The following is a 27,831-nucleotide window of genomic DNA, read 5'->3' on the forward strand; positions in this document are numbered from 1 at the left end:
CTGGCCCTCCATTGCTGCAATGCACCCGGCTCCCTCCCTGGGGTGCCGTGCTGCATCTGCCAGCGATTCCAATGGGAGAGGTCTGCCTGCGGGCATTTCTTGAGGATTTTTGTGTGCAGAACCTTGCTGATTATAGTTCTAGGGAAGATGCGAAAAGAGAAAAGAAAAGGTATGTCCTCCAGCCACTTGTATGCTCCTCACTGATCTGAAAGGAGCACTCTCTGGGCCCTCTCAATTTTTTTTTTTTTTTTTTTTTTTTTTTTTTTGAGATGGAGTTTTGCTCTTGTTGCCCAGGCTGGAGTGCAATGGCGCCATCTCGGCTCACCACAACTTCCGCCTCCCGGGTTCAAGCACTTTTCCTGCCTCAGCCTCCGGAGTAGCTGGGATTACAGGCATGCGCCACCACGCCCGGTTAATTTTTTTTTATATTTAGTAGAGACGGGGTTTCTCCATGTTGGTCAGCCTGGTCTCGAACTCCCAAACTCAGGTGATCTGCCCGCCACGGCCTCCCAAAGTGTTAGGATTACAGGCGTGAGCCACTGCGCCCAGCCCCTCAATTTTGTTTTTTAAAATAATTTCAGTATTAGCCTGCATGCGTTGAGGTATCAGAGACATTAAAATATCAAACTTGCAGGTCCCCTGAGGTCAGGAGTTCAAGACTAGCCTGACCAACATGGAGAAACCCTGTATCTACTAAAAATACAAAAATTAGCTGGGAGTGGTGGCAGCCGCCTGTAATCTCAGCTACTTGGGAGGCTGAGGCAGGAGAATCTCTTGAATCCAGGAGGTGGAGGTTGCAGTGAGCCAAAATCGCACCACTGCACTCCAGCCTGGGTGACAGAGTGAGGCTCTGTCTCAAAAAAATATGTTAACAAAATAAAATTAAAAAATCAAACTCTCCAGCCCTTATAAAGGTAATCACTTGGTTACCCATTCAGTTTCAAAATGGTGAGTTTCAGGCACTGCTAGGATCATCAAATGGTGCCTTGAAGGAAAAATGACATCTTAACTCATTCTCAAGATGCCAGTCACGTTGCCGTGATCAGGACTTTAGGGCAATGAGCAAAGAGAACAAGGAACTCTGCTGTCTGAAACAGCTCTCCTGTCGGATCAGCCTAGCGTCACTCCTGTAGCTGCACAAAAGCTCATGGGCACCAGCCTGGAATTAGGCGTCCCTTGTCCTAAGCACCCCTCCCCAGCCCCAGCTGTCCAGCCCATCCTGTCTAATCATTACTTAAATTACCAGGGTTGTGTCTGGAAAGAATTGAAGGGTTTGACCTTCAGAAGACAAGCCTCCAGGGGAGGGGAATTTCTATTTTTTGGCATGTGGATAATGAACACAGGGGAGGGCAATCCCTGCTCCGGGCTCCATGTCTTTTTCCAGCTTGTCAAAATAGGACGTCCACACCCTCCTTTGCCCCCAAGTCCCCCCACTAATTGGCATCAATCGAGGAAGTCTGAGCGACTGCATGTTTAGGTAAAAGAGGAAAGGGGTGGGGTGGGGCGCAGTGGCTCACGCCTGTAATCCCAGCACTTTGGGAGGCCGAGGCGGGCAGATCACAAGGTCAGGAGTTCGAGACTGGCCTGAACAACATGGAGAAACACCGTCTCTACTAAAAATATAAAAATTAGCCGGGCATGGTGGTGCATGCCTGTAATCCCAGCTACTCAGGAGGCTGAGGCAGGAGAATCGCTTGAACCCAGGAGACGGAGGTTGCAGTGAGCCAAGATTGCGCCACTGCACTCCAGCCTGGGTGACAGAGCAAGACTCCATCTCAAAAAAAAAAAAAAAAAAAAAATAGAGGAAAGGAGTGAACCCCTGAGTGGCCAGCTGGGTGCCTCAACGGGGTGTCTCCAAAGGCAGCTTGTGCTTGTTTGTGACCAGGGTGACAAAGGACTTCACTGTCCTGTAGCACAGATGAGGTTCCACCCTCAGGTGGGTGGAAACAGCCCAGGCCATTAGTGCAAATCCCCTGCCTGGCCCAGGGCCACGTTCAGCCCACTGTCTGTTTGCTTTGGGACCCACCCAAGGTCACATTTTAGCTTTTGAGAAATGTGAAAGTGGAAAACATTGCAAAACAAAAAGCCCCTGGAAAACTGTGCACACACCCATCCCCTCAGCCTGATGCTCCAGCTTGGCTGCTAGGAGATCAATGCAGCTCTGCCTTCCTGCTCCCTGTGCAGAGGTGCCGGCTCCTGCTTCCTGGTTCCCAGCTTTCCTTTTGGGAACTGCCTGAGGTGGTTTGACACACAGCTGTTGGGCTTCTCTTCCCTTGAGGTCTCTGAACCAGGGCACCCATGCAGGTAAACACAAAAGCGGAGTGGGGTGGAATGGGGGTGCTGGCTGTAGCCTCGGCAGAAGGGGACCCGCCTCTCTCCTCACGAGTATCCAGGATGTGGGACTGGATATTGACCAGACCAGAACCCACTTTGGGCCCACATGGGAGCTAATGTCAGCAGGGGCCTGTGGACTGTTCCCATTGAACGGCTCTTCCTGCTAGCTGTGGTTCTCAGTGTGGCTGGCCTGGTCCAGCCTGGCACAGGACAGGACCTGGGAGGGCCACACATTTCCCACCTCCATTTTGTGCCCAGGGGACCTGTGCCAGCAGCAAGCCCTTCCTGCAAAGCAGTGTGGGGAATTCTGCCAGGCTGCAGATGGATGGGCCGGTCTGCTTCCACCCCTTCCTCAGGTGCAAAGTTGGGGTTTTGCGATCCTGTAATTACTATGTTTAGCAAAGTTGCCAATTTCTCCCTTTAGGGTAATTTTCAAAAATGGAAACCAATTTTCTTTGTAGGGGCTTCTGCTGGATAAACCAACCACCACAAAGTCTACAGAAACATGTCTCCACCCCAGCCTCACTCCACAAATGCTTCTTTGGTGGAAGGCTGGTTCCTGGTTTGTGTTCATTTGGGTAGAGCTGGGGAGGGAGTAGGAGTCAGAAATGAAGGTTCTGGAGCCCAAAAGCCACTGTTCCCAGACTAAGTTTGCCTAATCATCTGTGGTTGGCAAAACCCCTCAAAGATGTCCACGTCATAATCACTGGAACTTGTGAGTGCGTGTTACCCTATATGGCAAGAGGGATTTTGCAGATATGATTACGGATTTTGAGAAGGGGAGATTGTCCTGGGTTCTCTGGGTGGGGTGAATGTCATCACAGGGTCCTTATATGAGGGAGGCAGGAAGGTCAGAGTCAGAAGAGTTGTGTCAATGGGAGCAGAGGTCACACAGAGATAGACTGGAAGATGCTATGCTGCCGGCTCTCGAGGTAAAGGAAGGGGCCCTGAGCCAAGGGATGCAGGTGGCTTCTAGAAGCCAGAAAAGGCAAGGGAACACAGCCCTGCAATTCATCTTATATTAGGTTGGTGCACGAGGAACTGTTTTTTTTTTTTTTTTTTTGAGACGGAGTCTCACTGTCGCCCAGGCTGGAGTGCGGTGGCGCGATCTCAGCTCACTGCAACCTCCCAGGCTGGAGTGCAGTGGCGCAATCTTGGCTCACTGCAACCTCTGCCTCCTGGGTTCAAGAGATTCTCCTGCCTCAGCTTCCCGAGTAGCTGGGACTACAGGCACACGCCACCACGCCTAGCTAATTTTTTATTTTTAGTAGAGACGGGGTTTCACTATGTTGGCCAGGCTGGTCTCAAGCTCCTGACGTCGGGTGATCCACCCGCCTCAGCCTCCCAAAGTGCTGGGATTACAGGAGTGAGCCACCGCACCCGGCCTGTTTGTTTTTTGAGACAGAGTCTCACTCTGCTGCCCAGGCTGGAGTGCAGTGGCACGATCTCAGGCTCACTGCAACCTCCGCCTCCCAGGTTCAAGCGATTTTCCTGCCTCACCCTCCCGAATAGCTGGGACTGCAGGTGTGCACCACCACACCCAGCGAATTTTTGTAGTTTTTAGTAGAGAGGAGGTTTCACTACGTTGGCCAGGCTGATCTCGAACTCCTGACCTCAGGTGATCCACCCGCCTGGACCTCTCAAAGTGCTGGGATTACAGGCATGAGCCACCGCTTCTGGCCTGGGGAAATTGCGTTTTTTGGCATTAAAAGTAATGGTATTAGCAACCATTCTAATACTTCTGATCTTCTGCAAGATAAAAAATTTGTGTTGTTTTAATTGTGTGTAGCAATAGGAACCTAATACCCCATCCAACACGACACTCAGCTTTGCTCTTCCAAAGACTGGGGAAGAAACCCATCTGCTCAGGAAGCTGAGGATGCCATACGCCAAGGTGTAAGATAACATCTGAAAGTCAAGGGAGCAGGAGCACAGGAAGTCTGGCTGCCAGCATAGGCATAAACAACTCCTCCCAGTAGATCACACCTTGGCAAGGCTGGGAGGATGGAGGCCTGGCAGCCAAAAACCCCTTTCCTCCTGTACCCTTAGGAGACTACACTATCTTCTATCAAGACCCCTGGTATTGTTACATCTTTTCATTCAAAACTTGAAACACTGGCCAGGTGCAGTGGCTCATGCCTGTAATCCCAGGGCTTTGGGCAGCTGAGACGGGATGATTACTTGAGCCCAGGTGTTTGAGACCAGCCTGGGCAACATAGGGAGACCACATCTCTACAAAAAATAAAAAAACAAAATTGGCTGGGCTTGGTGGCATGCACCTGTAGTCTCAGCTACTAAAGGGGATGGAGGTGGGAGGATCACTTGAGCCCAGGAGGTCGAGGCTGCAGTGAGCTGTGACTGTGCCACTGCACTCCAGCTTGGGTGACGATGTAAGACCCTGTTTCAAAAAAAAAAATAAATAAAACATGAAACACTGATTCACACTAGGGCCCTAATAACTCACTGGTTTTCCCTCCGAGTCATCTGTAGCAGAAAAAGAACAGGCCCACGGGCCCTACGGAAAAAGTTCCAACTCTTTCCCAGGGAGAGGGCCCTCTGAAGGTGAAGGCAGAGACGGGGACGACGCAGCAGCAAGACACGGATGACCAAAGGCTGTCGGCAAACCACCAGGACACAGGCCTGGGACAGAGTCACAGCCTCAGAAGGAACCAACCCTGCCAACACCGTGATCGTAGACTTCCCAACCTCCAAAACTGTGAGACAGTCAATTTCTGTTGTCTACGCCACCAGGACACTAATACAAATGCCTATAGATGCTGGGCAGGCAGCTGAGACAAATGGAGTGGGTAGGGCTGCAGCTCGCCACCTTGAGAGGGCTCTGAAGAGAATCACCCTGAATTGCAGCCACAGTCAGCAGCCTGGAGGTGAGGGCATGTGACAGGCAGAGCCCAGAGGCCCAGAAGAGACCTGGGTCCCCAGCCTCAGCAAGGACGACAAGGACAAGGAGACCACCCAAGGGATAGAGCTAGGGTCACCCCACCATACACTCATCATAGTCAAACCACTGGGGAGAATCAGAAACTCGGGCAAAGCACACACTCCCTGCAAGCAGCCAAGAATCTCGCATGACCAGTCTGGTCCTCTGGATCTCCACATGTGGCCACGTGTGGCGCGTGGCATCCCCTCCACCCCAATGCCTGGTATGGTCGACCTGGAAATGACATCTAGGAAACTGAGAATGGAAAGCCATGTGGGGGCAGCGCTAAGCTTTTTTTTTTCTTTTTCTTTTTTTGAGACGGAGTCTTGCTCTGTTGCCCAGGCTGGAGTACAGTGGTGCAATCTCGGCTCGCTCTTGGGTTCAAGCAGTTCTCCTGTCTCAGCCTCCTGAGCAGCTGGGACTACAGGCACCTGCCACCGCGTCCGACGAATTTTTGTATTTTTAGTAGAGATGGGGTTTCATCATCTTGGCCAGGCTGGTCTCAAATTCCTGACCTCGTGATCCACCCGCCTCAGCCTCCCAAAGTGCTGGGATTACGGGCGTGAGCCACTGCGCCCAACCAGCCCTAAGCTTTTTTTTTTTTTTTTGAGACATAGTCTTGCTCTGTCCCCAGGCAGGAGTGCAGTGGCACCATCTCAGCTCACTGCAACCTTCGCCTCCCGGGTCCAAGCGATTCTCCTGCCTCAGCCTCCCAAGTAGCTAGGATTACAGGCATGCACCACAACACCCAGCTAATTTTTGTATTTTCAGTAGAGACGGGGGTTTCACCATGTTGGCCAGGATGGTCTCAAATCTCCTGACCTCATGATCACCCGCCTTGGCCTCCCAAAGTGCTGGGATTACAGATGTGAGCCACCGTGCCCGGCCCCTAAGCTCAAAGAGCTTGTGAGATAGAACCTCCCCCTTCCCCGGTCCTTGCAACCCCCTAGGCAGTAAAGTACCATAAAAAGGGAAAAACCGGAGTGGTGGCTCATGCCTATAACCCCAGCACTTTGGGAGGCCGAGGCAGGCGGATCACTTGAGGTCAGGAGTTTGAGACCAGCTTGGCCAACATGTGAAACACAAACTCTACTAAAAATACAAAAATTAGCTAGGTGCAGTGGCTCACACTTGTAATCACAGCTATTCGGGAGGCTGAGGCAAGAGTATTGCTTGAAACCGGGAGGCAGAGGTTGCAGTGAGCCAAGATCGCGCCACTGCACTCCAGCCTCAGCCTGGGCAACAGAGCGAGACTCTGTCTCAAAAAAAAAAAAAGGGAAAGAAGTTGAGGTCAAGGAAGACCTTGAGGCTATGCAATTAGGGAGCTGAAATCTCCTAGGGAAGGTAGCTTCAGGGAAGGGTGAGATGGCAGGAATCCTCTCCTCATAAAAGCAAGTAATTTGCCATCTGGCAGCCTTGACTCCAAGTTTCTGGAGAGCTGGGACCAGGCCAGGTGAATGCCTGCTTTCTTTCTCGGGAAAAGAAAAAAGGGGGTTCTCAGGTGTGTCTCCCTGGGGAGGCTGCCCACAAGGAAGGGGAGGCTGGGGAAGTTAGAAAAAGTCTCCCACCTGTGAAGCAGATTACCTGCAAGCCAAGCTCTGGGTTGGTGATCAAATCAGACCTCTCTGCCGGCCCAGGCCTGTTCCCAGGCCCACGGTGGGCCTTGCTGAGCACAGCGGCTGCTCAGCTGTTTCCAGACTCAGGATGAAGCCTGGGGAGGGCTTGGAGCTGCTTCCTCTTTCTTTTTTTTTTTGAGATGGAGTTTCGCCCTGTCACCCAGGCTGGAGTGCAATGGGACGATCTCAGCTCACCACAACCTCTGCCTCCTGGGTGCAAGCAATTCTCCTGCCTCAGCCTCCCAAGTAGCTGGGACTACAGGTATGCGCCACCACACCCGGTGTAGAGACGGGGTTTGAGACGGGTTTCTCCACGTTGGTCAGGCTGGTCTCCAACCCCCGATCTCAGGTGATCCACCCACGTCGGCCTCCCAAAGTGCTAGGATTACAGGAGTGAGCCACTGCGCCCGGCCTGCTGCTTCCTCCTCCTCAGGGAGACGCCACAGCTCTGCGGCAAGCAATCCACCAGGCACCAGATCCCCAGATACCTGCCCTTCAGGGAGAAATAGCCTGGGATACAGAGAGGCCCAGAGGGGAGCTCTGGCTGGACTTGGCTTCTCAGCGTGGGGTCTGGGTTCACAGGTTTGCTTCTCTGCTTTGTGGGGAACTGGTTGGAGGCTTGTGCAAGCCTCTTCACCTCTCAGGGTTTCAGGCCCCCCCAACTCCTTCCCGCCTTGTCCTTTTTTCTTTTTTAAAAAAGGAAGTAAAGTACAGTGGGAAACGGGCCAAGCTGGCAGCTTGAGAGATCCAAGTGCCCGCCCCCCGACCCGCAACCGTGGGAAGGGGAACCATCTTGCTCTTGGCCAATCCTGCCTCTCTGAGCAGGGATGCAGCTGGGGGAGTTTCTGGAGATAGGATCAAATTCTTTAGAAAGGGAGAAGGGGAAAGGGGTCTGGAGAAAGGCAGCCTGGGTTGGGGGAAGTGAATGACAAGAATGAGGGGGGCAAAGGCCTTGGAGGTGAGGGGGGCAGGGGGTTAGGCGCCAGGGAGGACAGAGGACCCATTGTGCGGCCTGGAACCGGGGCCAGAGGGCTTTGCCCTTCGCCTCCCTCCCGCGGGGCCTTCCAGAGCCAGGAGGGGAGCTGGGGCCCGGAGGCGTTGGATAAAGAGCCCGTGCCCCGCCTCCCCTTGCCAACTCAGTTTGCAGTCAACCCCGCCCCCGCCCGCTCCGCGGACTCAAGGCTGGTGGTAGTGGGCCTGGAGGCGCAGGATCCGACCTTTCTGGGGCCCCAGGAGGAAAAAAAAAGGGGGGACCCTGAACCAGGTGGGCTTTATCACCACGAACTCACAGTGCTTCCCTGTGCCTCAGTTTCCCCTCTTCAGACTCTATGGCTAATGACAGAGCTTTTCAGATTTGGTGGAAATGCTCTCCGGGGCGGGGAGCAGACGGGGAAGGCTGCCCCAGCTAATCTCCGCAGCCAGTACCCTCGAAGGCTGAGATCTCGGGGAGCACAGCCTCCGATTCGCGTTTTCTAGGCACCAAAGTCCCTCGCTGGAGGAAGAGGAGGGGAAGAAGGCAGAGGAGAGGGGAGGGGCGGACGGATCTGGTCCTGGGCTCCCGCGCGGAGCCCCCTCCTCCCACAGCCGCCGCTCGCGTCCCCGCAGCGCATGACCGCGGCACTGCGGCTGCAGGGCTCTCTCCCCCGCCCGCGCCGGATTCCTGGAGCAAGGGGGTGGGGGGCTCGGAGGTGCAGGACCCATCATTCCGACACGCGCCGCGACGCCAGGAGTCGGGGATGACGCCCCTGCTCCCTCCCCTCGTTCCTGTTTCTCGGAGTTTTTCGACCCCTGAGCGCGTCGCTGAGTCACCTTCCCGGAACGCGCTCGGGACGCTCTGGACCCAGCGGGGACTGCCCGGGGGCCGCGCAAGGCGAAGGCGCACCCGCCGATACGCGCGCGGAGCTGCGGCCCCAGGGACCCCGCGTCCCAGCCAGTGCCCCCCGACCCGCCCGGGGACTCTCGGGTCCCGCCCGTCTGACCCCCCAAGTGTTGGGAAACGGGGCCGAGCTGCCTGGGTCCTCCGGAAGAGAAGACACCGCGGAGGCGTGCCGGAGTTCAGGGCGCCGCCCGGCTAATTGGCTGCGTGCTCCTCCTGGACCTGCCTCTTCTCGACTTTAAGAAGCGATGAGAGAGGTGTGTGGGGGCGGGTGGGGCCGGCGGGGGCGCGCGAGCCCCGCAGCCTCCCGCAGGGGCTTGGTTTCTCCTAACTCTGGCCCTACCTGGGCAGGTCACCAATGGGCCTTGGCAACTTCTTCCTCCGTCTCCGCCGTAACCCCCCAGGGATCTAACTCGAGGTGCTCGCGGACACGTTCTGTGGCTTGCCGCGATAAGTGTATCACAAACACACTGACAAACGCGTCCCTACTGGCCTCCAAAGAAGTGACAACTTCTGAGCGCGTTTCCGGCGCCCCTTCTTCACGCTGAGCCAGAGGGGGCGGGGGGCACGTACCACATGCTTGGCTTTCCAATCCCGACGGGGGCCCCCAGGCCCATCTACACTGTCAAGCCTCCTCTCCGGCTCGGAGCCCCCGGCCTGTCGCCTGCTCTACCCGGGACAGCGCGCTAGGCGGCCTCAGGCTCGGTAGCCCAGCTGCAGCGTCGGGAAGTTAAAAATAACCTCCGTGGGAGCGCGGGGGAGGAAGAAAGAGGGAAGCTGGTGGGCGGCGGGCGAGACGCCCCGGCCTGGAGAGGCGCCCCGGGTGGCGTGCGGGCCTCGAATTTCGGGTGGGCTAGGGCAGAGCGCGCAAAAGGGGCGCTGCATCCCGGCGCCGACAGCACCCGCGGGGGCGAGGTCGTGGCGTCGAGGTGAAACCAAGGGTCCCCCGGGAGAGCGGAGCCGCGCGCGCCCGGCGCTCGCTCCGACACGAGTTCGCGCGGAGCCCGCGCCTCCGTCTGCGCTGCGCGGTCGCTTTCGCGCGCCCCAGACACTGCGCTCGCGGCCGGGCCCGGGACTCCGCGCCTCGCGGCCTGCCGCCTCAGCTCACCCGGCCAGGTCGCGGCGCCGCCTTCTAGCCAGACGCCTAGGACGAGCGGCGGGGGCGCGCTTGCCGCTTCCTAGGACCCGGGCGGGAACCAGCTCGTGGCCCGGCCGTGGGCGCGGGCCGTGCCGGAGGCGGCGCGCTGAGGCCGGAGGCGGGCAGAGGCCGAGGCCGCGCCGGGCTCAGGTTCCACCCCCGGGAGCGCGGGGCGGAGCCAGGCCGGCGCCGAGGCTCAGTGCCCTCCCCGCTCCGCGGCGCCGGCTGCGAAGTTGAGCGAAAAGTTTGAGGCCGGAGGGAGCGAGGCCGGGGAGTCCGCTCCAGCGGGGCGCTCCAGTCCCTCAGACGTGGGCTGAGCTTGGGACGAGCTGCGTTCCGCCCCAGGCCACTGTAGGGAACGGCGGTGGCGCCTCCCCAGCAAACCGGACCGACTGGGTAGGGCCGCCCACCCTGCCTTCGCGCCGCTCGTGGCTCCTGTGCGGCCCGCCCTCGCGGGGCCCCGGGAACTGGGCCACTTGTCGCTTGGGCGAGAGCAGGCGGCAGCTGGTGGCCCGGTTCGGGCTTGGCTTTGGCGCGACCCGGGAGCGGCTCCCACGAGCGCCGCGCGCGTCGCAACGGAGCGGGGCCCTGAGAAGCGCGCGCCGCGGCTCCCACCGCTCTGGAGCTCCGGGCAGGGGACACGGCAACCTGGATGGCTGGGGCAGGGATCCTCTCCCAGAACTTCGTGCCCAGCAATGTCCGCTCAAGTTCTGGGATTTTTACGCAGCTGGACTCCCCTCCCCCTGGCAGCCCCGAGGGGTGAGGAGCTAGTCCGTCGGAGGGAGCCACGGGGCTCTGACTCATCCGTCGGGCCGGAACCGAACCCCAAGCCCCAGGGAGAAAGCCCCGGAGCAGGCGCCCTTCTCAGGGATTGTAGGCTTAGTCACACGGCGGGGGCGCCCTCGGAGGCACCGGACCTCAGCTCTCTGGACTTCCCGGGAACCTGGCTCCCCGCGCGTGGTCCCGGGATTTAGTCGGGCGCTCCCCACCTCTGGCAGCTGCGGCCCCGGACTCCGCCAGCGCTGTCTTCTCTCCCTCAGGTCCAGCCGCCGCAGGGAATGACGCCGGTGCTCCTGCAGCCACGGCTCCGGGCGGGGAAGGCGAGCCCCACAGCCGGCCCTGCGACGCCCGCCTGGGCAGCACCGATAAGGAGCTGAAGGCAGGAGCCGCCGCCACGGGCAGCGCCCCCACAGCGCCAGGGACCCCCTGGCAGCGGGAGCCGCGGGTCGAGGTTATGGATCCAGGTTTGTGGGGTTCCTGCTGGGAAGGGCTGTAGGGGGATTCCTGTTCCTCGCCAGGAATGATGGAACGCCCAGCTGGACGAAAGGGGCTGTGGACGATCGGGAGAAACATTATCCCTCACGAGGCCAGAAGCCGGCCGAATCTGAGCCAAGGAAGGGGGTGGCAGGGGCGCCGCGTCCCCACCCCAGGTCTCCCAGCAAAGGCCGCTCCTCTGGCCAGGGTCAATTACCGGGGTGTTTCGGGCACCAAGTTCCCACACTAGTGCCCCATTGTTACCCGTGGCCCCCTAGTGGTCGGTTGCGGACGTGGCCTCTTTGGTTTTGTTTTCTCAGCGGGCGGCCCCCGGGGCGTGCTCCCGCGGCCCTGCCGCGTGCTGGTGCTGCTGAACCCGCGCGGCGGCAAGGGCAAGGCCTTGCAGCTCTTCCGGAGTCACGTGCAGCCCCTTTTGGCTGAGGCTGAAATCTCCTTCACGCTGATGCTCACTGGTGAGTACCTCTCGGAGGGGGTTTCGGGAGCATCCCCTGGCAGGGGACCCCCCCAGTCCTGATAGCTGCCGGTCTCCCTGCAGAGCGGCGGAACCACGCGCGGGAGCTGGTGCGGTCGGAGGAGCTGGGCCGCTGGGACGCTCTGGTGGTCATGTCTGGAGACGGGCTGATGCACGAGGTGAGGACCGCACTGCGCGGCTAGGCCTGGGGCTTGGCGCGGTGCGTCCCAGGCTGAGGCCACGTGTGCTTCAACAGGTGGTGAACGGGCTCATGGAGCGGCCTGACTGGGAGACCGCCATCCAGAAGCCCCTGTGTAGCCTCCCAGCAGGCTCTGGCAACGCGCTGGCAGCTTCCTTGAACCATTATGCTGGGTGAGAGCCCAGGGCCAGAGTAGGCCTGTTTCCCGTCAGTGCTCCTCTACCGCGGGGGTTTTCTTGTCTAAGCTCCCATAGGCTGAGATCATTTCCATTTCCCCTTCTCCCTTAGTCCTGGGGCCCTCTCCTGGTGACCCCAGCTGACTGCTTCCATTTGCTCCATCTGTCACCTACCAGTCCTGCCAACTCCCCAGGGACCACATGGCGCTTTGCCAGCTCCCACTCCCCGGGAGGAGGAAGCGGGGGATACATGGGGGCTCCTGTCCTGCCTTATCTGACTTTTTCCCCCTGCAGCTATGAGCAGGTCACCAATGAAGACCTCCTGACCAACTGCACGCTATTGCTGTGCCGCCGGCTGCTGTCACCCATGAACCTGCTGTCTCTGCACACGGCTTCGGGGCTGCGCCTCTTCTCTGTGCTCAGCCTGGCCTGGGGCTTCATTGCTGATGTGGACCTAGAGAGTGAGAAGTATCGGCGTCTGGGGGAGATGCGCTTCACTCTGGGCACCTTCCTGCGTCTGGCAGCCCTGCGCACCTACCGCGGCCGACTGGCCTACCTCCCTGTAGGAAGAGTGGGTTCCAAGACACCTGCCTCCCCCGTTGTGGTCCAGCAGGGCCCGGTAGATGCACACCTTGTGCCACTGGAGGAGCCAGTGCCCTCTCACTGGACAGTGGTGCCCGACGAGGACTTTGTGCTAGTCCTGGCACTGCTGCACTCGCACCTGGGCAGTGAGATGTTTGCTGCACCCATGGGCCGCTGTGCAGCTGGCGTCATGCATCTGTTCTACGTGCGGGCGGGAGTGTCTCGTGCCATGCTGCTGCGCCTCTTCCTGGCCATGGAGAAGGGCAGGCATATGGAGTATGAATGCCCCTACTTGGTATATGTGCCCGTGGTCGCCTTCCGCTTGGAGCCCAAGGATGGGAAAGGTGTGTTTGCAGTGGATGGGGAATTGATGGTTAGCGAGGCCGTGCAGGGCCAGGTGCACCCAAACTACTTCTGGATGGTCAGCGGTTGCGTGGAGCCCCCGCCCAGCTGGAAGCCCCAGCAGATGCCACCGCCAGAAGAGCCCTTATGACCCCTGGGCCGCGCTGTGCCTTAGTGTCTACTTGCAGGACCCTTCCTCCTTCCCTAGGGCTGCAGGGCCTGTCCACAGCTCCTGTGGGGGTGGAGGAGACTCCTCTGGAGAAGGGTGAGAAGGTGGAGGCTATGCTTTGGGGGGACAGGCCAGAATGAAGTCCTGGGTCAGGAGCCCAGCTGGCTGGGCCCAGCTGCCTATGTAAGGCCTTCTAGTTTGTTCTGAGACCCCCACCCCACGAACCAAATCCAAATAAAGTGACATTCCCAGCCTGCTCGTCCTGTCCTGGTGACTGGGGAGAGAATGGGTTCTCGTTCTGGCCGGGACTATAGAATTTAATGGTAATGATGGCCAATGGTGCCCCCTGGGATGGGCAATGGATTTTACTGGCCCCAGGCATAGTCATTCTGGTGGGGGACTCAGGACCAGAGCTGGTTCAGCCTAATGGTGGGGGGGCCTCTACCACCCTGATAATTATAGCACCTCCAACCTGAAGCAGCCTCAGAGCTCAGCCAGCTGCCTGACCACACACAGGATGCAGCTCGGAGCTGGCATGTCTCAGCCAGGGCCACACAAGCAGCTAGTCCCAGCAAATCTCATCAGAGCCCCATGTGGATTTAGCAGGAAAGGGGAAATATCTGAGTTAAGGGCATTAGAAAACTGATGGGCCAGGCGTGGTGGCTCACACCTGTAATCCCAGCACTTTGGGAGGCTGAGGTGGGTGGATCACTTGAGCCCAGAAGTTTGAGACCAGCCTGGGCAACATGGTAAAATCTCATCTCTACAAAATGTGCAAACATTAGCAGGGTGTGGTGGCGGACACCTGTAGTCCCAGCTACTTGGGAGGCTGAGGCAGGAGAATCGCTTGAGCCCGGGAGGTTGAGGCTGCAGTGAGCCGAGATCGCGCCATTGCACCCCAGCCTGGCTGGGTGAGACAGAGTGAGAATGTCTCAAAAACAAAAACAATAAAACCACTGGCCACCGCCCCCGCCCCCCCCCAAAAAAATTGGCAAGGAGCAGGAGACCTCAGAAGTAAAAAATGGCAATATCTTGCTTTTTTTTTTTTTTTTTTTTTTTGGCTCACTGCAACCTCTACCTCCCGGGTTCAAGTGATTCTTGTGCTCAGCCTCCTGAGTAGCTGGGATTACAGGTGCATGCCACCATGCCCAGCTAATTTTTGTAGTTTTAGTAGAGATGGGGTTTCACCATGTTGGCCAGGCTGATCCCAAACCCCTGACCTCAAGTCATCTGCCCGCCTCTGCCTCCCAAAGTGCTGGGATTACAGTCATGAGCCACCACACCTGGTATCTTACCTTTTTAAAAGGAGTCTGTCATCCACCACAATGGTCTAGGGTTCTAGGGTTCTCCCAGCCTCCCTCAGCTGTCTCCTTTCCCTACCTGTCCCTGTGGAGGAGTGCCAGGCAGGAGTGGAAAGAATGTGGCAGGGAAGGATCCATCCAAGTCTAAACTGGGCAACCATTTTGGCTTAGCGTCCAGGAGTTGTGGCACCTGTCCACCGCCAGGTGCTATGACGTCGGCTCTCCCAGAACCTGGAAGGAGCTGAACTGGTCAGTTGTAGGTCTCTGGAGACTACAGCTGCTGGGAGGCTGCTCTAAGCTGGCTCCTGAGGGGCACACCACCGGCCAGGAGGAGGCCAGAGGACTGCTCCAGGACAAGAAGTACAAAAGGCATGCAAGCAGGTCTGGCAGGCAGAGGGCAGTGTGGGCGGGTGGGGGTGCTGTTCACAGTGGCCCCCACCTGGCCAGGAAAGCCAGGACCCACTGCCACATGCCTTCCCTGGCAACAAACAAGGTCTTTCCTTCCCCAGGAAGGGTGTGTGTGAGGGACACAAAGGCAACGGAGCCCAGATGAATGGCAGAGGGAGGTTTAATGGTGTCACCTTGTCTTGCTAATGAGCCAACACAAAAAAAAAAAAAAAAAAAAATGCAAGTAAAAAAAAGTTTAATCACACAGCACTTTATACAGATATCGTAAGCAGTAGGCATTCACATCTCCACATGTACAATGCACTGGGAAGCACAGCCCCACCAGTCACTCCGGGTGTTTCTCAAACAAGATACCGACTCGGTTCCAAATGCCACGGTGTGTGGTCCGGCTCCATCCTCCCGCAGCTCTGCTGGCTGGGCGGTCACAGCACAGCACAGGTGTGGAGCCCACTTAAGGCTGACAAGACGCATCATGCTTTGGCTTTTTTTTTGTCTTTTTTTCTAATAAGAGTTAATATCTTTGCTTTTGAGTTTTTTTTCCAACCTTAAATATTACATACATACACCAAAAATTACATAGCTGCAATGTGCTCAACAGCATCCTCTCGGCCTGGAGCTTCACATTATCAAAAGCTTAGAAAACTTGTAAACCTCTGGGCCTGTCTCTGGGCACTAGGAGAGCCCCCGCCGGCCGTCCCCTTCGGATTGAGCCTGCAGTTTGTAAGCGAAGGGCTGACAGTAGGCCTTCTAGTCCAAGAGAGGGCTGGCTCGCTTGGAGTTCAGTGAGCTGCACGCCTGTCCCAGTGTGACCATGTGATGGGGGAGGGGCCCTAGCACTTGCCCTGGCCTTGTGCAGCTGCTCTTGCCCCCAGCAGCCTCCGACAGAAGAGCAAGGCACCTATAGCTGTTGCTTTCCCTGCAGCTCCCTGGTCCTCAACTCCATGTGCATGTGTGAAGGCCACCACCTCTCCTGGGCGTCACCCGGAACCTAGCCTGGTCCCAACCTCTCTTAGAGAGCAAGTTCAACAGGCCTGAGGGCTATAACGTGGTCGACAGGCCATGTATAGCCGGGAGTCAGTGACAGCAGCTACAACTCCCAAGGGATAGTGTTGACGCTGGAGGACTAGGGAGGACCTGGGTGGTGGTGGCAGCAGGAGGGTCTGGGACACAGGGAGGCTTGAGTTGAACTAAACAGGTTGAAAGGGACCAGGGGAATTGTTGGCGCAACCCACACTTCATGCAAGGCACATGTGCTCTCCTGCGGGTCTGCAGGGAACCGGCCCAGAGAGCCCCGCGGCAGGCCCTGGAACACCCGCCTCTGACCTGAGAAGGGGCAGCAAGGGAGCAAGTGCCGGACATTCTGCTGGGGTGACAAATGGAAAATCGGCAACAGGGTTCCGATTTTCTTTGCCACAGGGGACCCGCCTGTTGAAAGCTCGCTTCAAAATAGAAACGGCAGCATCTCAACACACTTCTTGCACTTCAGCATCAAACTCACCTTGGGGAGAAGAGGGCAGTGGGTTTGCAGTGGGGACAGAGGGGCATGGGAAGAGGGGTGATTCCGGGGGGGAGTGAGCAGGCGGCGGCTGGCCTCTCCCACGGTGATGCTCTTTCCTCTGTGCCTGGCAGCTACTTGTCCTCTGTGCACTCCGGCATGCCTGCCTCTAGCAGGGCAGCCCGGAACTGCGTCAGGACACCCCGGATGCTCTTGATGAAACCCTTGGAAAGTGGGAAGAGGGGGAAGCCGATGTCAGGGTAGCCACTCTTCTCAGGTAAGAAGCTCCGGTAGCTCTTTCTCCGCTTCTTTGGTTTCACACTGGGTGGCACCGATGCGTCTGGTGCGGTCTCCGAAGTCTGGTCTGTGTGGTCCCTGCTAGCTGAGGCCAGGCCCTGGGCACCGCCCTCTGAGTCTGAGCCCTGGGAGGCCTCTCCTGGGGCTGGCCCTCCATCCTCAGGTTCTTGTTGGCCGGAGTCTGACAGCTCGGCTACAGCTGGGGGCTCTGGCGAGCTGCTGGCCTTGGGCACCCCGTTGGGCAGTGCCTGGGCCTTCTCCAGCAGGGCATGGGTTTCCAGCCAGGACTCGATACGGTTCACCAGCCGCCAGCCACCAGTGCTAAAGTGTTGCCTGATCTCCTGCTCAAAGACCTCGGGGGGCCGCCGCACCAGCTGGGTCATGGACTGCACCACGCGGATCAGCGCCATCTCATTGTAACAGCGACTGTTTTCATAGCCTTCCTGCAGGCCTCGGTCACTGTCGAAGCCGGCTTCGTTGTAGTATGGTTCATTTACCAGGATCAGACCTGTGTGGGCGGGACACCTTCCCTCAGTGGGTGAGAGAGGCCCACAATGCAGGCCTACCCTCCACCTGCCAGGGGGACTATCAGAGTCACTTTCCTCCACCGGCCCTCCCTTGTCCGCACCCCCGCTTCAGCCCAACTGTACCTTGGATGGAGATGAGCACCTGGAGAAGGCTGGACTTGCTTGTCCACCTCTCTGTCCCCTGAAACACACAGGGCACCATCAATTCTGTTCCCCAGGCCCCTATCCACCAGTGGCTCTTCCTCCTTCTTGGCTGGGGGCCTGGCCCTATACTCACCTTTCCAATCCAGGTGCCCAGGAGGCTGACACACACCTTCCCATTGTCATACAGGTTGGGGTTCAGGCGGCCACTGCATTGGGAGAGGTAGCAGAAGTGGGGGGGCACGGCTGGGTAGATGTTGGGGAGCTGGATGTCAAACAAGTAGAGGCCATCCTCGTAGGGGGTTCGAGTGGGGCCCTTGATGAGAGCTGAGAAGAGGTCCTAGGTAGGGAGGGAGGGAGGGAGGCCAAGGTTGGCAGGGGTGGAAGGGGGTGTCCTACATGTGGCATCTGCATCTGCACCTGCTCTTTCCCAGGACACTGTGCAGATCACGCAGGAAGAGCAGCACCTGGGACTCCAGATGCCACCAGCAGTGGAGAAGCTAAGGACAAATCTCTCTCTGCAGAACAGCCTGGAATCTTTTTTTTTTGAGACAGGGTCTTGCTGTGTCCCCCAGGCTGGAGTACACTAGTGCAATAATGGCTCACTGCAGCCTCCCAAGTAGCCGGGACTACAGTGTGGGCCACCGTGCCCAGATGATTTTTTTATTTTGTGTACAGACAGGGTTTCACTATGTTGCCTAGGTTGGTCTCGAACTCCTGGGCTCAAGTGATCCGCCTGCCTCGGCCTCCCAAAGTGCTGGGTTTACAGCCCTGAGCCGTCACTGTGCCTGGCCCTTGCCTGGAATCATTGAACCCTGGCTAAGAGAAATACTCGAAGTGAGTTTTTATCTTATCAGGTGTTTTTCCTCATAAATCATTACTTTAAGACTGTATTCCAGCTGGGCGCGGTGGTTCGTGCCTGTAATCCCAGCACTTTGGGAGGCCGAGACGGGTGGATCACTTAAGGTCAGGAGTTCAAGAGCAGTCTGGCCAACGTGGTGAAACCCCGTCTCTACTAAAAATACAAAAATTAGCCAGGCGTGGTGATGCATGCCTGCAGTCCCAGCTACTCGGGAGGCTGAGGTGGGAGAATTGCTTCAACCCGGAGGCGGAGGTTGCAGTGAGCCGAGATTGTGCCATTGAACTCTAGCCTGGGTGACAGTGCGACGCTATCTCAAAAAAAAAAAAAGATTGTATTCCTCAGCCAGACGTGATGGCTCACACCTGTAATCCCAGCACTTTTGGGAGGCCAAGGTGGGAGGACTGCTTGAGGCCAGGAGGTCAAAACCAACCTGGGCAACATAGTGGGACCCTATCTCTACAAAAAATAAAAAATTAGCTGGGCATGGTGGTGCATACCTACAGTCCCAGCTACTCAAAAAGCTTAGATGGGAGGATCACTTGACTCCAGGAGGCTGAGGCTGCAGTGAGCTATGATCACACCACTGCACTCCAGCCTGGGCGACAGAGTGAGACCCTGTCTTTTATTTTTTGGCTTATGTGTTTTTTTGAGATGGAGTATAGCTCTGTCCCCAGGCTGGAGTGCAGTGGTGTGATCTTGGCTCACTGCAACCTCTGCCTCCCAGGTTCAAGCGATTCTCTGCTTCAGTCTCCTCACGCCCGGCTAATTTTTTGTATTTTAATAGAGACGGGGTTTCACCATGTTGGTCAGGCTGGTCTCGAACTCCTGACCTTGTGATCCGCCCACCTTGGCCTCCCAAAGTGCTGGGATTACAGGCGTGAGCCACCACGCCCGGCCAACCCTGTCTTTTAAAAACAAAACAAAACAATTCCTCTAAACACCTGCTCCAACCCTTATCCCCAACAAGGCAAGTAGTACAAGCAGTTTCAAGCTGAAAGGCAGTTCCAGGCTGGTGAGGCCTGGGGAAGGGGGGATGGTCTCACAACCAGAAGCTGACAGTGAGGGTTTGAACTCCATGGGGGAGGTTGGGAGACCACCGCTCCACAGACATCTGGAATCTGTGCATCTATTTGCGTGCATCTGTGCACACACGCGTGTGTGTGGGATCTCAACTGACAGGGCAATGGGCGAGGTCAGTGATGAGCTGAGAAGCAGGGAAGGCAGAGCGCTAGCTGGGGCGAGGGAACCTCTGCACATGCTCTTATCGGTGCCACCCTGGGAGCCTCCAGGGAATGCACTACTTTTCTTCTCCTGAGTGAGATGTGGGGAAAACAGAACAAAACAAAAAATACTGTTTCCATCTTCCCTCAGCAGAGCTGAGACAGGCTAGAATTTTCAAAAGGAATTTTCCTACAACCCAAGAAAAAACCAAAAGCGTTATTAAGAATCTCAAGCAGCACTGGGCCTTAGGACTCTGCCTAGCCCTGTTCCAGGGTTGTGGCTACTCCGGGCCCATCTCAACAGCATCCCGCTTGGCTGCTCTCAGGATCGCTTGGCTGCTCTCAGGATCCCTGCTCTTTCTTTTCTTACTCCCTTCCTTCCAGGACAGGGCCAGAACTGGGGCCTCAGACTCAGATTCAGAGTCTAGCATAGTGCTTGGCTCGATGCACAGGCCCAGTAAGGGACTGCGGAGTCAACAAGGTGGCAGGCAAACGGGCTTGCCTGTTCCGGAAGGATGCACTCAGCGCTGCCTCAGTAAACATGACTCAGAGACACTAGGCCCCGTCCACGAACAGAGGAGTGGGAAAATGGAATGTGGTGTGGCCACATGCTGTCATCCTATTTTGCAGGTAAAAAGGAAGAAACTAGATCATTATGAATCAACACAGGTTGGTCTTAAGCAAATTAGAGATGATGTGTACGACGACATATTCTGTGTGTAAACAAATCATACAAAATATTATGTACTTATGGTGATACATGAAAATGTAAAAATATTTTTTTAGTGTATAAATAATGTAAAAGTATAAAAAAAAGGTCATCCGTTTGGAAGGAGACCCACTAAACTTCCAACAATCCTCTGGGTGTGGGAAGAGGCCTATGATTCGGGGAGAAAGGGAAGTGAGGTCTGGTCAAAGGCAACTTTAGCTCTTCCATTTCCACTCAAAGGATCTGTAATGTTCTAATTTTTCAAAAAGAAAAGTAGGCTTGAGGAGTAATCATAATATAATTAATTTCAAAGTAATTTTTTTTTTTTTGAGATGAAGTCTCGCTCTGTTGCCCAGGCTGGAGTGCAATGGTGCGATCTTGGCTCACTACAACCTCTGCCTCCCAGGTTCAAGTGATTCTCCTGCCTCAGTCTCCCGAGTAGCTGGGATTACTGGCACCCGCCACCACATCCGGCTAATTTTTGTATTTTTAGTAGAGACAGGGTTTCACCGGGTTGGTCAGGCTGGTCTCAAACTTCTGACCTCAGGTGATCCACCTGCCTCGGCTTCCCGAAGTGCTGGGATTACAGTCGTGAGCCACCGCACCCGGCCTATTTCAAAGTAATTTTTTTTTTTGAGACAGAATCTCGCTCTGTCACCCAGGCTGGAGTGCAGTGGCGTGATCTCGGCTCACTGCAAGCTCCACCTCCCAGGTTCACGCCATTCTCCTGCCTCAGCCTCCAGAGTAGCTGGGACTACAGGCGCCCGCATGGTGGCGGGAGAGTTTTTTGTAATTTTTTTTTTTTTTTTAGTGGAGACGGGGTTTCACTGTGTTAGCCAGGATGGTCTCGATCTCCTGACCTCGTGATCCACCCACCTCGGCCTCCCAAAGTGCTGGGATTACGGGTGTGAGCCACTGCGCCCGGCCGAGAAAGTAATTTTTTAAAGGAGGGAGGAAAGAAAGAACCATCTGGCCTGGACACACGGCTGAGTCAGCCCTCACCTGACTGAGCCTGTGACCGCCCCTGTAAAAGGTGGGTGGGTGAGTGTCCTCGCAGGTGCCAGTCAGCCCCGGAGGTTTGGGGACCCAAGGTTGGTGGCCTCTTGGGCACTGGGTGCCCACACAGCACATCTGCACCTGCCCATGCCAAGCCTACTTGCCATTCTATCTTCAAAAGTCTTGACCATGATGCCCTCAGGCAGTGAGGTAGCCAGCAGCGCCATCTCCTTCCGCACTGTGCTGAAGAACTTCTTGGCTTCTGGAGGCTGGAACTCAATTTTCTTAAAAGAATGATTTGCTAGAGGGGGGAAGAGAATAGTCAGTCCCTCATGGAGAGGCCCTGGAGCTCCATCTGCCAACCTGGCTGGACAGGTGAGCACACCCACAGACTTCCCACTCGCCGCTGCTGGCCTCAGCACTGTGACCACACAGGGAAATGGTTTGCCCTGGGGCAGTAGCTGGGGTCTGGCGAGGGGACTAACCACCCTGCACCCAGATCTGGTGACACAAACAGGAGCCCCGAGAAGGCGGGGGAAGGCGAAGACCAGGCAAGGGCTGACTCACAGGGTGCAAACTCCAGTACGGAGAAGACCTCGCCCTTGGCGCTGGTGAAGGTGACGCCAGGCTTGCCGCCACACTGCTGGCACAGCACCGGGGTTTCGCTGGGCCACTCAGCCTTCACAGGTGACTGCCCCTCGGGCTTGTCCTCCTTGCGCTCTACGTCGGGCACTGCTTCCATCTTCTCCTCCTCTACAATGGCCACATTGTCCAGGGTCTTCTTGAGGTTTTCCTGTAGCTTCTTGATGTCATCCAGAAACTTCTTCTCCCGAGTTGGCTTCTCAGGCTCCACAGTCGGAGAGGTGGGCGAGCCCGTCAGCAGCTGCTCCACAGTCATGTTCTTGAGGCTCTCCAGGATCTTGATGGCCTCTTTCAACTCCCGGAAGCTCTTGGGTGGCCCGTCCTTGCCAGCCTTCTCCATCAGCCCGGCCATGGGGGCAGCCATGGCCACAGCCCCCTGGACGGCAGCTGTGGCTGCCTCTTCACTGATCACCACTCCCTTGTCCTCAGGGGCCACCGGCTGCTCCAGGGGTGGGATGGGGGGCTCCTCTATCTTGGGGTGCTCGTCCTCCACCAGCCCATTGTCCGTCTCCCAGCTGTCACTATCATCTTCCCATTCATCCGAGGATGCCCCGCTGGTGCTGCCTTCTACCGAATCGTAGTCTGACTCCTCAATCTCAGACTCTATGTTGTACAAGTGCTGGGGGCAGAAGGGAAGTGCCAGGGTAAGCAGACAGGAAGTCACCTCCCCACCACTAAGGAGGAGCTCTGGGGATCCCTGATCCGCACAGCTGATGGCGACTGGGCTCATGAGGCCTTGGCAACCTCATTCCACCCTTTCCCTGACCTCTGCTCTGGCTTTTGCAGTCCCTAGGTCTCTGGGAGAGGCCCTTCACCTGTCCCACCCTCCAGCTGGACCCAAAGCCCCAGCCAGTGGTCTGTTCCAGCCTCTCCTCCTGCTCTGTGCACTTCGTCAGCATCTGTCCAAGGCGTTAGGGGACCTTGGCAGGCCCAGTCCCACACCTGAAAAGCGCAGGGTCAGCTAATGATGCAGCCAAGGAGGCCTGTGTGGGGAGCTGGGAACATATGACAAGAGGGGACATGTAGAAGGGCCGACATATCCTGCTGCGTTCCCTGGAATGGCCGTTAAGGTGATGGGGCAAGCCATTCCCGCCCCCACTCCTGCCCCCTGTGTGGACCAGGAGAGGAGAGCTGGGCTGTGTGGCTCCAACCAGGAGGCGAGGGAAGGAGAGCCCGTGTAGCCCTTCTGCTCAGGACCCAGCAGGTGGGGCTAGAACTGGGTCGGCTCTCTCCTTTCTCTCCTTCTCTGTTAGAGCTTTCTAAAAAGGGTGGTAGGAAAGTCTCCATCTCCTTTTAGGAGGGAACTTGCATTCTTCGTAGCATAGTGAGCTGACAATCCAGGAAAATCCTGGAGGTTTGTGAAAGTCTACATGCACCCAGAGATGGACGTGAAGAGATTGCTGGGAGAAGCGAGGCTGGTGGGCCAACTGCAGGCCTGCACCAAGGGCTGTGTGGAATGCCTGCCTTTCCCCTCACGCTTTCGCTGAGATCTCACCAGGAAGACCTGAGAGCCCATCTTCTGGCTACACGCCTGTGGCCCCCGGCCCAAGTTGCCATAGTCACAAGCTCAGCAGGGGGGTCTTGCCAGAGCCTCACCTGGGGCAGGATGATGGTCTTTGAGTTGTCAGCCCACACCACCTCCACCTTGCTGCTGACGTCCACACGGGCCACCTGGCCCACCGATGGCTGCTGGGCAAAGGGGACAAAGTCAGGGGGCCCAGCTCAAGCTCCAGCTCCCCAGCCCCTCCTGTGCTCTGCAGTGACTGACATCATGCCCACCTGGCTTGTGACAAGGAACTTAGCTCCTCTGGTAAATGTAACCAGCGGCAGCTCAAGAAGCCTGACCCCAGAAGGGAGGCAGGGAAACAAGTCCTTCTGCAGCTGCTAGTGCTGAGCGGCAGCTTGACTCTGGGGCAGCTGCCCTTCTGAGGACACTGAGCCCAGAGGACTTTCAGGTCTTGTCTCCTAGAGCCACCTGGTGGCAGCATCAGGGACTGCAGCTGGTGCACAGGGCAGTGAGCAGCCATCCAGAACTTGAATTTGAAGGCGTACCTCATCCTCCTTGTGAGGAGCCCCATCCTCAGTATTGCCGATGCGGATGACGATGTCAGTTGTACGGAACCTAAAGTCAGGGTGGTCAGCAATGTCGTAAACACTCACATCTTCCTCTTCTCCAATCAGCTGTGGCACAGGACAGGTTGTCATGAGCTAGGGGTCCTACACCCAACCCCAGAGCCCACCTGAAGCAAGCAGTAGGGGCTGCACACACCTCCACGTCGTCCCCACTCGGCCTCAGCTTGAACCACTTCACCATGCAGGTACGGCCGATGTGGTCCCCAGACTGTACCACACCGTAGACAGCAGGGTCTGGACAGCTCTGGACTAGGGAACCAGAGAAAGGGAAGTGACTAGCTAAGGGATCCCGGCTAAGGAGCCCACATCTCAAGCCAGTGCAGAGTGCAGAACCCTGACCTTCCCCCGTCTTGGAAGTGGTGAGACCCCTTCATGAGGGCAGTCCCCTTCTGGACCTCATTTTAGCTCTGACCCCAGATCCACTGCCCATTCTCCACAAGCCCCAACCCGGGCCCTCATTGGCGACCACCCTGCTGGCTGCCCTTCCAGAGCTGGCACTACCTCGCTTATCTACCACGAAGTCTCCAGGGCAGAACTCGTTGTTGTCCAGGTGGTGCACAGGGAAGAGGTCGTTGGAGCGGATGTTGCATTCCACGGAGCCATCCTGCCACATCACGTCGGCTGAGGTCATCGTGGTCACCACCTCCACTGCCACCCTGCGGGTGCAGGCCAGTCAGCAGGCCATGCAAACCCCACCCCCTCCGCGGAAAGGGCAGAGAGTCTTTCTGTCCCTTCCTGTCCCTGTGGGCTTGGTAACCTGAAACTCTGAATCCCAGGTTGGCAGGATGAGTCTCTGGTGCACAGGAAGCTCACCCAGGGTTCCAAGGCCACGCATTCTCTGAGAACAGGATCCACTTGGGAGAGCTCAGGCAAATGTGGTTCCAGAAGGCCAAGCTTAAGGCCACCACCATCCCACCCTCTGCACCACTCCTCAGTCTCTGCTTTCCACCAGGGCCTACCCCAGGCACCTACGTTGTCTCGGGTGGGAGCCCCGGAGCCACTACAAGGCATGCAGAGGTGTGTGTGCGAGCGCAGGCACGCACACCGAGGGGACGCGCACTCTGCCTGGCTTCACGCTGACGCCATTGGGGAGGGGCACAACTCTGAGTTTACCTGTCCCCTGGCTTGAAGTCTCGAGTGATTTTATTCTTCTTCCTCTTGTGTTTGCGCTTTAAGTTCTTGATGGACAAGGGGATGCTCTTTTTGCGACTCGTGCCGCTGCCGCTCTGGGAGGAAGTGGTGGAGCTGGCAGAGGAGGTCACCGAACTGGTGTCGTCCGTGTCATCAGCAGCCTCATCATCTGCGTCCTGCTCTGCCGAGTGCAGCCTGTCATCTCTGCCTTCTTTTAGCAGGAATGGGGGCAGCTGCTCTCCTGCCTCGTGGGGCTCCTCTGCACCCTCGTCCTGCATCTCCACTGGACTGGCAGAGCCATCGGGCGTCTCCTCAGGGCTGGCAGACTCCGCTTCGCTCTTGGTTTTGGATTCCCCCTTCTTGTCTGGGTCTTCCATGGAATGGTCCCGGGAACACTGGGTGTCTGGGGAGCATGACATGATCCGCACAACCTGCTTCTTCAACAGGCGCTTCACCTGCAAGGGCGGAGCAGAGAGGACAGGGCTGTGAGGTGCACCTGGGCAGGCCTGGCCCTAGGCATCTCAGGCTGGGGGGATGACAGCTGTATACACCTGAGTAGCCGGCAAGGGTCATCAGGGCTGCCCCCCAAGGCCTAAAGCACAGACTGTCCTTCTTGGCCATGGAAATGGCTCAAGGCCAGTTCCTCAAATGCCCACCAATCCCCAACCCCAAGGACATACCTTCTTGGCCATAGAGCCCTCCCCCTGGGCGCAGTTTTTTTCTGGACATTCCCAGGCAATCTTGGCTGGCTCTACCTTGGCTGGGAAGACATACAGACAGCGCTCCCCAAGCTGCCGCTGAGCATGGTCAAAGCATCCGAGACGCTTCACCCTGGTTGGGGAAGAAGTGGGGGTGAGCTGGGCTGGACTCCTGGGAGGCCAGCAGTGTTCTTAAGCCTCCCCAGGCATGTGACCAGGGCCCAGAGCCCTGTCCCACGCGTGCCCCTGGGTTGCTGGCAGTAAGGGCATGCTTACCTGCCTAGGTTTTCCTGGGTGATGACAGAGGGTGGGGGGCTGACGCTGTCCGTGCCCCCTGGACAGAAACTCTTGGTAATCCATGTAACTTTCAACTCTACAACCTGCACCTGGGGATGGCAGGTGGGACACGCCAGTCAGGGCAGGCTCTGACAGCACTCTCTTTAGCCAGCTGCCCAAAGCCCACTTGACCTCCAGAGCAGGAAACTGATCTTCCTAGTGCAGCACCAAGTACAGACACATCAGAGCAGGCCCCAACTGTAACCACGGCCCCCACCCAATGCCCAGGACCAGTGTCACTGCTCATACCAGCCAGGGGCCACTGGAACTGCCACTTGCCACCCTCCCACCTTGCTCAGCCTGTACAGGCTGGGCTGGGGCACATCTGTCTTTTGGTCACTATGACCAGAGCCTGGGTTCCCTTTATCCCCAAAGCCCTTTGAGATCAACAGGGTCCAGATGCTGAGGAGCGGGGCTCAACCCTCAAGAGCAGGAAGGAAAGGGGCAGCAGCTCAGCTCCAGGGTGTGGAGGTCAAGGACTCCATCTCCTACCCTTGGGCCCGGACCCACCTCTTCCACCACCACTCGGAACTTGCTCTTGGTGCTGAGCACGGGCTTGACACCTGACAGCCACTGGACGCTGGAGAAGATCTTGGCAGGGCCAATGAGCACCTGGCCTGGGTAGAAGCCATAGGAATCATCGAAGAAGAGACCCTGCGGGATGTGGGGCCAAAGGAAAGTCCCCGTGAGCGGTGTCTCCATGGGTGACCATGCTCTCCACGCCTGTGCCCGCTGGCTGCCCACCTGCAGAAGCCCACTCACACACACGCCCCACACGCCCTAAAACAAGTCCTGTGGCTCCACATCAGCACTTCCCAAACCCTGGGTCCGCAGAGGTCATCTGGCGCCCTTGTTCAAACATAGGTGATGCATTCCATGCTCCTTGGTCAAGGGCTCATACTCTGAGGAATAAGACTCCAGAGAGCAGTGGTCCTGAAACCTGTTTGCTCACGCACCCCCTGTATATCTACTTGTTTGCTGTGTGTGTCCATGTACTATTGTAACTAACACATCATCCTGTACTGAGAGAGACAAAGTGGAACCTTAAAGGATGAGAAAAAAAAGCTACCAAAAATGCAAATAAAAGTTCTAATACTGCCGGGCGCGGTGGCTCACGCCTGTAATCCCAGCACTTTGGGAGGCTGTGGGCAGATCACCCGAGGTCAAGAGTTCGAGACCAGCCTGGCCAACATGGTGAAACCTCATCTCCACTAAAAATACAAAAATTAGACGGGTGTGGTGGCACACGCCTGTAATCCCAGCTACTCGGGAGGCTGAGGCCAAAGAATCACTTGAACCCGGGAGGTGGAGGTTGCAGTGAGCCGAGATCGCACCGTTGCACTCCAGCCTGGGCGACAGTGAGACTCTGTCTCAAAAAAAAAAAAAAAAAAAAAAGTTCTAATACTTTCTGCCTATACCCAAACTTTTAGACCCTCTGGCGCGCACCCGCCCCTTTTCTAGGAAACCGCTCTGTTTAGCTGGGTCCAGGTCTTTGCTACGAAGTCCTCCTTCCAGAGGACTGAGCAATCAGAGAAGGGTGCTGGCCTGGATGGAGCACACTACCGAGTCGCTGACGTGCGGGCAGACGTCGTAGAGCTTGGCGCCATCTTCCGTGTTCATGGAGCACCTAAAACAGAGAACAGAGGTTTGGTCTCCACCAGGGGACACAGTGAGTACCAAAAAGTTGCGATTCTGAGATGCCAATGCGCCCACATGCCCTAAATAGCACAATTCGTCTTCTACCATCAACTCAGCCCGAGGTAGTACAAGAAACTCTCCCACAACGAACAAGACCCCAAGTGCCACTGGAGTGCTTGCTCAGCACCATCACAGTGCCTC

At 57.0% G+C, this 27,831-nt stretch overlaps 2 protein-coding genes across 13 annotated transcripts in view, besides 5 other annotated features; one reads left to right on the plus strand and one right to left on the minus strand.

The window, feature by feature from the left end:
* SPHK1 (sphingosine kinase 1) lies at positions 8,696-13,347 on the plus strand. Of its 5 annotated transcripts, none has more exons than NM_001355139.2 (6): positions 8,696-9,021; positions 10,943-11,146; positions 11,477-11,629; positions 11,713-11,807; positions 11,885-12,000; positions 12,298-13,347. In NM_001355139.2, the coding sequence occupies exons 2-6, from the start codon at positions 11,137-11,139 to the stop codon at positions 13,076-13,078; spliced, it is 1,155 nt and encodes a 384-aa protein (NP_001342068.1). In that variant the 5' UTR covers positions 8,696-9,021; positions 10,943-11,136; the 3' UTR covers positions 13,079-13,347. The 5 variants fall into 5 exon arrangements, with proteins under 5 accessions (NP_001342068.1, NP_892010.2, NP_068807.2 ...); NM_182965.3 differs by lacking the exon at positions 8,696-9,021 and adding an exon at positions 10,101-10,661; NM_021972.4 differs by lacking the exon at positions 8,696-9,021 and adding an exon at positions 10,101-10,298 and having other exon boundaries at positions 11,435-11,629.
* Positions 8,739-9,028: a silencer, noted in NCBI's record as "silent region_9013". NCBI's record gives its function as "represses an Ori minimal core promoter by ATAC-STARR-seq in GM12878 lymphoblastoid cells {active_cell/tissue: GM12878}" and the evidence as "EXISTENCE:reporter gene assay evidence [ECO:0000049][PMID:35858748]".
* Positions 9,049-9,188: a silencer, noted in NCBI's record as "silent region_9014". NCBI's record gives its function as "represses an Ori minimal core promoter by ATAC-STARR-seq in GM12878 lymphoblastoid cells {active_cell/tissue: GM12878}" and the evidence as "EXISTENCE:reporter gene assay evidence [ECO:0000049][PMID:35858748]".
* Positions 9,769-10,468: a silencer, noted in NCBI's record as "silent region_9015". NCBI's record gives its function as "represses an Ori minimal core promoter by ATAC-STARR-seq in GM12878 lymphoblastoid cells {active_cell/tissue: GM12878}" and the evidence as "EXISTENCE:reporter gene assay evidence [ECO:0000049][PMID:35858748]".
* A 1,600-nt stretch (positions 13,348-14,947) lies between the features above and the next one.
* Positions 14,948-27,831, minus strand: part of UBE2O (ubiquitin conjugating enzyme E2 O) — a 63,697-nt gene continuing 50,813 nt past the window's right edge. For 2 of the 8 annotated variants that reach the window (XM_017024935.2, XM_047436517.1), the window contains 14 exons: positions 27,556-27,619; positions 26,503-26,646; positions 25,933-26,042; positions 25,714-25,789; positions 24,941-25,413; positions 24,329-24,483; positions 23,964-24,076; positions 23,747-23,875; positions 23,291-23,380; positions 21,620-22,313; positions 21,217-21,353; positions 17,402-17,605; positions 17,248-17,305; positions 14,948-17,105 (listed from right to left, as the gene is read on the minus strand). In XM_017024935.2, the coding sequence (XP_016880424.1) occupies positions 16,435-17,105; positions 17,248-17,305; positions 17,402-17,605; positions 21,217-21,353; positions 21,620-22,313; positions 23,291-23,380; positions 23,747-23,875; positions 23,964-24,076; positions 24,329-24,483; positions 24,941-25,413; positions 25,714-25,789; positions 25,933-26,042; positions 26,503-26,646; positions 27,556-27,619 (3,118 nt within the window). In that variant the 3' untranslated portion in view covers positions 14,948-16,434. Of the gene's footprint in view, positions 17,106-17,247; positions 17,306-17,401; positions 17,606-21,216; positions 21,354-21,619; positions 22,314-23,290; positions 23,384-23,746; positions 23,876-23,963; positions 24,077-24,328; positions 24,484-24,940; positions 25,414-25,638; positions 25,790-25,932; positions 26,043-26,502; positions 26,647-27,555; positions 27,620-27,831 lie in introns of all 8 variants that reach the window. The other 6 variants (XM_047436518.1, XM_024450867.2, NM_022066.4 and 3 more) reach the window with 3 other exon arrangements.
* Positions 16,228-16,402: a silencer, noted in NCBI's record as "fragment chr17:74386817-74386991 (GRCh37/hg19 assembly coordinates)". NCBI's record gives its function as "represses an EF-1alpha promoter that drives an FKBP-Casp9 reporter gene in an ReSE screen in K562 erythroleukemia cells {active_cell/tissue: K562}" and the evidence as "EXISTENCE:reporter gene assay evidence [ECO:0000049][PMID:32094911]".
* Positions 24,394-24,894: an enhancer, noted in NCBI's record as "H3K4me1 hESC enhancer chr17:74394983-74395483 (GRCh37/hg19 assembly coordinates)". NCBI's record gives its function as "activates a minimal SCP1, AML or CMV promoter by ChIP-STARR-seq in primed H9 embryonic stem cells {active_cell/tissue: H9 hESC(primed)}" and the evidence as "EXISTENCE:reporter gene assay evidence [ECO:0000049][PMID:30033119]".

This window comes from Homo sapiens, chromosome 17 (assembly GCF_000001405.40).
Source record: "Homo sapiens chromosome 17, GRCh38.p14 Primary Assembly".
In the NCBI taxonomy this organism is placed as follows: domain Eukaryota; kingdom Metazoa; phylum Chordata; class Mammalia; order Primates; family Hominidae; genus Homo; species Homo sapiens.

Coding starts and splice junctions, on each gene's coding strand:
- SPHK1 (NM_182965.3), top strand. CDS start 10,598: ATGTCCGCTCAAGTTCTGGGATTTTTACGCAGCTGGACTCCCCTCCCC. Junction 11,147..11,476: donor GGTCGAGGTTATGGATCCAG/GTTTGTGGGGTT, acceptor TTGTTTTCTCAG/CGGGCGGCCCCCGGGGCGTG. Junction 11,808..11,884: donor GAGACGGGCTGATGCACGAG/GTGAGGACCGCA, acceptor GTGCTTCAACAG/GTGGTGAACGGGCTCATGGA.